Source organism: Homo sapiens, chromosome 12, assembly GCF_000001405.40.
Source record: "Homo sapiens chromosome 12, GRCh38.p14 Primary Assembly".
NCBI classification, from domain to species: domain Eukaryota; kingdom Metazoa; phylum Chordata; class Mammalia; order Primates; family Hominidae; genus Homo; species Homo sapiens.
This window is the reverse complement of record NC_000012.12, coordinates 104369675-104376757: the sequence shown is the minus strand read 5'-3', so window position 1 is coordinate 104376757 and position 7083 is coordinate 104369675. Positions and strand designations below refer to the sequence as shown.

Below are 7083 nucleotides of genomic sequence, written 5' to 3'. Positions count from 1 at the left end.
CCTGCAAAACCGAGACCTGTTTTCAGCAGTGGAAGCGGATTCACAGTGTCACAGTGTTCTTTGTTGTCATTTTATTTTTTTCCCTTTTAACAAAAATTGGGTCACATAGTACATGCTATTTGGTAACTTTGTGTCTTCCCCCACCCCCCAGCACTTACTAGCTATAATGAATACTTTTTCCAGATTACTAAACTTACACATTAAGCACCTTTTTTATTTTTTTCTGAGACAGGGTCTTGTTCTCCCATCCAGGCAGGGGCGCAGTGGTGCACTCACAGCTCACTGAATCCTTGCACTCCTAGGCTCAAGCAATCTTCCCACCTTGGCCTCCCAAAGCACTAGGATTATAGGCGTGAGCCACCACGTCAGCCTTAAGCACCCTTTTTAATGGTTACATAATGTTCCATCTAAGGAAGGTATATTACCCTTTACTTAACTATTTCCCTGCTTTGAGATTTTAGGGCGGTACCAGATTTCTGCTGTAATGAATATTCTTATCCTCAAATCCTTAGGAAAAATTCCTAGAAGAGGAATTGCTGAGTCAAAGAGCGGGTGCATGCTAACCACTGCTGATAGTTATTGCCTTACAGAAAGATTTTCTATGAGGAATGTATGAGCAGCCCCCCACCTGCCGTGAGCATTAGTGGACCATTTTATACAGATCCACAGCCCTTGTCTGAATCCCTTGGGACCTGATGTGTTTGAGAATTCAGGATTTCCTAGAGAAACACAGTGTGATTTCTGCATACCCTGTCAGATTCCCAGCAACGTCTAACAGATCCACAGTCTAACTCATTCATATTTCTTCAGGAAATCATGTGAACGTCCACAATAAGTGAGATAAATCAAGACCACAATGAGCCTTGTGGCAGCTCAGGGCAAGTTTTCCCATGAATAAACTTTCCATTTTCAGAGTTTTTGCAGGCGGGATTTCTGGAGGGGAACATGTGCACCAATGTCAAGTTGCTCTGCTGCTTTGCAAGGGAAATTGGCTTCGGGAAGACACGAGAAGGTAGCTCAGGAGAAAGATTAAGTCACCTGCTTGGGAGGAAAATTAGATCTGGGTTTAAATCCTAGCTTCACCTACGATAAGCTGGGTGACCCTGGGCCAGTGACTCACCCTTTCTGGGCCTCAGTTTTGTCATCTCTGAAGAGTACACCCATGCCAGAGCTGTGGAGATGACAAAGGATAAGGTGTATGTAACGCTTAGCACACACCTAAATGGCGTTGAATCGATGGCCTTCAACAACTTGCGCTAGTAAATGGCAGAGCTGGGAGGTGACAGCTTCTGCTTTTCCCGCAGTGCCAGGTGGGACCAGTTGAACACTAAGACCCTTCTCATCTGGCAGCCCCCAAAGCCAAAGCCCAGAATTCCCACTATAATTCACTCAAGCAGAAGGTCCAAAACTTTGGGTGGAAGGAAGGCCCAACAGGAACCTCAGTGGAATTTCTCTCAGTGGCCCCACATGGCTTCTGCCCACCTTGGTGGTGCTGGGGCACTCTGTCTCCCTGGCGCCCTACTTGGGTGGGGCCAAGCCCAGGCCAGCCCCACCCACATCTCCGCCGGGACCTATTTTGGTGTCCCAGTGTGTGGCTGTTGCAAATGAAAGCCTGAACAGTTTGATGCTACAGTTCCAGGAGCAGGCCAGCCCACCACCCCTCACACCCCTCCCTGGGCAGGACACCAGCAGGTCCCACAAAACATCAAGCTGCCTCATTAAGGACAGGGGCTGTCCAGCGGGAGGGGGTGTGAGAATGGGCAAAGGTGTGGTGTCCTCTGTCAGACCACAGGTGGGTGCTGTGGTGGGAGGGGAGTGTGAGGGCAGCAGGGGTGGCCGGAAGGGATACAGGTCTGCAGGGACAATGCGAGGCCTCTTTCCATCTCATCCGACTCCCACAGACCTGGGGGAGTACAAAAATCATCCCTGGGATGTTTACAAAACTTGGGAAAAAAAAAAAAAAAGAAGGAGGAGAAGGTACAGAGTGGGAAATAAAGGCCTGAAAAGGCCTCTGTGGAATCCCTGCTGTTTGCAAAGCTTCACCGACACAGATTCTAGCACCTCTGTTGCTAAAGGCTCTTTGCACTGAGAACTCTTTCTGACATGAGATTGCCTTTGCCAAGAATAATTTTGCCAGCTCTGAGTTGCTACCCACCAGGAGGTGGGGAGATGGAAATTTCCAGAAGCCCCCTATCCAATGGGGCCTTTCACAGCTCACTCAATGGACTCTGGAAAATAGCAAACCACCATCTCATCTGTTTAGAAAATACTGCAGGGGTTTCTTTAAAAGAGTTTAAAACATATTCTAGAATCCACTGTAAAACATTACCAAAGGTGTTTCTTAATTGCTGCTAATTTTACACAGCAATGACTTTATCTCTAAATGGGCCTTTCAATCTTCATCTATGTAGATATACACGTTTACATTCTTTAAATCACAGTATTATTAAATTTCATTTAGCAACATCCCGTAAACCTGTTCTCCTGGTTTGATAGTCCTCTTGTTAATTCTAATAATAGCATGCCATTTCATTGCATTCATATACCACAGATTTCTTAACCAGATTGTACAAAATAATTTTCTACCATTATAAACAATGCTGCAATGAACATCTTTGTGTATATGCTCTTTTCACATATGAGCTGCTTAAATTAATTTTCAGTCATTTGCTAAGCTTATGTTTATTGGGTACCTACTATGTATGTTAGGACCTAGGGGTAAGTGAACAGAACAGATGCAGTCTCTGCCCCACAGTCTAAATGTTCTATATTTTAATAATTTTTGGGTCTTCCTGTGTGAGGCTCAAATATATTTTTTAAAATCCTCTGAGTTTAAAATGGTAGCATTTGCAGCTGAGAAAGTATACACTGAGGGCTGCCAGCTTCAGGAGGAGATGGAACACAGAGTTTCCCGACATTGTTGGAGGTGGGGCTGGTGAACCACACCCCTCTCTTGCCTACTCATGGAGCCTGCCAGGGTCCCAGGGATGGACAGCAAAGTGGCAGCTCATTTTTACAAGAGGTAGGCTGGGGATGAGGCCGGGCGTGGTGGCTCATGCCTGTAATCCCAGCACTTTGGGAGGCCAAGGCGGGCAGATCATGAGGTCAGGAGATCGAGACCATCCTGGCTAACACGGTGAAACCTCATTTCTACTAAAAACTCAAAAAAATTAGCCGGGCATGGTGGCGGGCGCCTGTAGTCCCAGCTACTCGGGAGGCTGAGGCAGGAGAACGGTGTGAACCCGGGAGGCGGAGCTTGCAGTGAGCCGAGACAGCGCCACTGCACTCCAGCCTGGGCGACAGAGTGAGACCCTGTCTCAAAAACAAAAAAAAAAAGAGGTAGGCTGGGGAACGGGAAGCTGGGGACAATGTGCAAGGCTGCCAAGACTGCAGTGCACAAACGAATTTGCCCATCCTTCACAGGGGCTGCTGGGGGACCTCTGCAGACCTCCATCCACCCCCAACCCCAGGGCCTGACCCTCTTCACCCTTGGTGGGAGCTGGCTCCCACAGGGGAGGGATGAGCTGAGCACACTCACTCTTTCTCCTGAGCTCCTTAAATCGGGTAACTCTCTCCTCTCCTGACAGAGGCCGGGATGCTGCTCTCCTCTGGGGGCCCTTCTGCATGGACACATAGATGGAGACCTAAAGCTCATGGGCAAGGTTGGCCAGTCTCTGCTGCTTACAGCTCCCTTCCCCCACCTGACACGCACTCCTAACACTCATCTCCTCTCAAAGCCCAGCCTGGCCCTGCTGGGCTTCCAGGGCCTTGTCAGAGGTCCTTCCGGGCCAGGGAAGTCTTGGTACTGCCCGTGCAGCACCCAGGGGCTGGGAGACGGCTGGAAGTGGCTGGACGGGGAAGGGCAGGATTCTCTCCTCAGCCAGCATCTGCTTCCACCCTGGCGCTGCTGGGACTGCCATTCAGGAAGGTGGTGGATTCCGGGGCAGATGATCAGGAGGCAAATCCCGCTCCCCCAGCTGCAAGCTGATTTTCTGTCACATCATGGTGGCTTCAGCATGGCTGAATTAACTGATTGAATCCTTCCTCTGTGCCAGGCATGGCGCTGGCCTTTTGACATCTTTGCTCTATTGGATCCTCTGAGCAGCTCTAGGGTCCAGGAGCATTCATTGTTTCTCCTTCACACATGAGGGTAGATGACTTCTCCAGGATCACTATGCTAATGGGCAGTGACTGAGTTCAACCCAAAATGTGTCTGACTCCAGAGTTGTAGTTCCCAGCCTTTCTGCTTTGTCGTGTATACAGCACCTGGTAAGCCTTCCCCACCCCCTTCCCTAGTCTCTTTTGCCTTCTTTCCTGAAAATGCATGAATTGCTTTCAAAACCACTTCTTGCATTAACAAAGAGGAAATAAAGAGGTTCTCAAGATGTCTCTGAGACAAGGGGTCCCCAGCCTCTGGGCTGTGGACCGGTACTCATCCGCTCTGTGGCCTGTTAGGAACTGGGCCCCACAGCAGGAAGTGGGGCGAGTCACTGCGGGCAAGTGAGCGAAGCTTCATCTGTATTTACAGCCGCCCCTTATCCCTGGCATCATCGTCTGAGCCCCGCCTCCTGTCAGATCAGTGGTGGCATTAGATTCTCATGGGACCATGAACCTTATCGTGAACTGGGCATGCGAGGGATCTAAGTTGTGTACTGCTTATGAGAATCCAACTAATGTCTGATGATCTGAGGTGGAACAGTTTCATCCCAAAACCATCCTGACCCCCCTCACCCCCCGACCGTGGAAAAAATCGTCCTCCATGAAACCGGTCCCTGATGCCAAAAAGGACTGCTGTCTTAGACCACACAAGACGTTCATAGTCATCGTCAGGAAAAAAGTAGCATCCCTCAACGGCCAGACCTTCCATCTGCTGCTGGTTCACACGTAAGAATCACCAACACTAACACAGCACGTTCTAGAGGCCAGCCCCCGTCCTCGATACCTTACTTACCCAGAGTTAACTTATTTACTAATTAACTTTCCTTACTTCCCTGAGTTAACTTATTTTGTCCTGACAACCACACAAGGGAGGTGCTGCTATTGCCACCCCCATTTTCCAGCTGAGGATGCTGAGGCACAGAGAGGTTAAACAATATGCCTGAGGTTACACAGTAAGTGATTCATCCAGGATGTGAACCCAGGCTAGCTGGTGTTAGAAGCTGCGGGTGTAGCCACATTCCTCTAATTCCTTGTGACAAAGGAAAACAAAGAAGCCCATCCGTTTAGGGAACCAGGATGCTGTCGTGGTTGGCAGTGGTGGTATTTCCGTCAGTCCTTTTGGCATAAATACCTCTAGATTATGTCACAAAACAGCCCCTGGCAACTGTCCCTTATTTCCTAAAAAGGGGTGGCAAGGTGGCAGGTGGGGCTGGCTTACCGAAGCCTTATTCTCCTTCTCAACTAGTAGACTCGCCTTATTCTCAAACCCAAGTTCTTGACCCTTCTTAGCCCCTTTATTGACTCTCCCTGATTCTCAAGTGTCTCCCTGCATAAAACATGCCATTTCCATAATGTGGCCTTTCTTACTTCTGGAGACGTCTCTTCCTCGCAAATATTGACAGAGGCTTTCCCTGCCGCTGAAGTAACACTCGCCCCTACCCAGGCGGCATTCTCTGCTCCCCTGTATACCTTGAAGTGTACCTACAGGGTTGTTCACTGATTTTATTTGCAGGAAGAACTGACAGGCCCCTCGAACTTGGAGCAAACAATGAACAGAACGAGGATTGAAAGAGGTGAGATTTTTAAAGTAAATGCTTTAAAAAGCAAAATGTGTGGTGGCTCATGCCTGTAATCCCAGCACTTTGGGAGGCTGAAGCAGGAGGATCACCTGAGCCCAGGAGTTCAAGACCAGCCTGGGCAATGTGGTGAAACCCTCTCTCTACAAAAAAATACAAAAATTAGCCAGTGTGGTGGTGTGTGCCTGCAGCCCCAGCTACTTAGGAGGCCGAGGTGGGAGGATCACTTGAGCTGAGGAGGCTGAGTCTGCAGTGAGCCTAGATTGCACCACTGCATTTGAGCCTGGATGGCAGAGTGAGATCCTGTCTCAATAAATAAATAAACAAATAAATAAATAAATAAAGGAAATACTTAGACTGCTTAATGATGATTTACTTCAAATCCAAACCTTCCAAATAGGAAAAAAAAAAGAAAAGAAAAGAAAAAGAAAAAAGAAAAAGCAGGCTGCTTTAGGACGATTCACTTTGCTTTCCCTTTTGGCAGCTCTGATATTCTGCATGATGGCTAAATGATAATGAGTCCTTATGACAACTGCTGGGGAGAGACGGACCCTGGATGGGGTGTGGGGCACAGATATGAAACACACATCCATTTTGCCTACCTTCCTTCACTGCCTAGTGGAGTCTCTGCTTTATATGCTGAGATAGACACTCTTCATGTGCTCTATAGATTAGAAAAGCTAAAACTCGGCCAGGCGCAGTGGCTCACGCCTGTAATCCCAGCACTTTGGGAGGCCAAGGCAGGCGGATCACGAGGTCAGGAGATCAAGACCATCCTGGCTAACATGGTGAAACCCCGTCTCTACTAAAAACACAAAAAATTAGCTGGGTGAGGTGGCACACGCCTGTAGTCCCAGCTATTCGGGAGGCTGAGGCAGGGGAATGGCATGAACCCAGGAGGCGGAGCTTGCAGTGAGCTGAGATCACGCCACTGCACTCCAGCTTGGGCAACAGAGTGAGACTCTGTCTCAAAAAAAAAGAAAAGAAAAGCTAAAACTCACTTTGTCAGCTTCCCTTGCAGCTAGGGATGGCCCAGGACAGAGATCTGGCCAATGAGTTAAAAGCAAAAGTGTGTCAGGCAACACCAGGATGGCTGTGTAAAGGGTAGAGAGGCAGTCCTATCTTTCACCCCCTCTTCTTACTGCCTTACTAAATACAGACTTGATGGCTGGAACTACAGCAGCCATTTTGTGACCATGAGGGAAAGAATGAGAAAATTGCAAAGAAGCAGATCCAAAACCTCTGACATTACTGAGATGCTTCTCCAATGTCCACACCCAACTGGCTGCGACTCCTTATGTCAGAAAAATGAACATATATTTGTTTAAGCCCCTGTTAGTGGGTGTTT

The 7083-nt window shown here is 48.4% G+C and overlaps 4 annotated features.

Moving 5' to 3' along the window:
* Positions 1132 to 1643: an enhancer, noted in NCBI's record as "H3K4me1 hESC enhancer chr12:104768893-104769404 (GRCh37/hg19 assembly coordinates)". NCBI's record gives its function as "activates a minimal SCP1, AML or CMV promoter by ChIP-STARR-seq in naive H9 embryonic stem cells {active_cell/tissue: H9 hESC(naive)}" and the evidence as "EXISTENCE:reporter gene assay evidence [ECO:0000049][PMID:30033119]".
* Positions 3206 to 3961: an enhancer, noted in NCBI's record as "H3K27ac-H3K4me1 hESC enhancer chr12:104766575-104767330 (GRCh37/hg19 assembly coordinates)". NCBI's record gives its function as "activates a minimal SCP1, AML or CMV promoter by ChIP-STARR-seq in naive H9 embryonic stem cells {active_cell/tissue: H9 hESC(naive)}" and the evidence as "EXISTENCE:reporter gene assay evidence [ECO:0000049][PMID:30033119]".
* Positions 3962 to 4719: an enhancer, noted in NCBI's record as "H3K27ac-H3K4me1 hESC enhancer chr12:104765817-104766574 (GRCh37/hg19 assembly coordinates)". NCBI's record gives its function as "activates a minimal SCP1, AML or CMV promoter by ChIP-STARR-seq in primed H9 embryonic stem cells {active_cell/tissue: H9 hESC(primed)}" and the evidence as "EXISTENCE:reporter gene assay evidence [ECO:0000049][PMID:30033119]".
* Positions 4720 to 5476: an enhancer, noted in NCBI's record as "NANOG-H3K27ac-H3K4me1 hESC enhancer chr12:104765060-104765816 (GRCh37/hg19 assembly coordinates)". NCBI's record gives its function as "activates a minimal SCP1, AML or CMV promoter by ChIP-STARR-seq in primed H9 embryonic stem cells {active_cell/tissue: H9 hESC(primed)}" and the evidence as "EXISTENCE:reporter gene assay evidence [ECO:0000049][PMID:30033119]".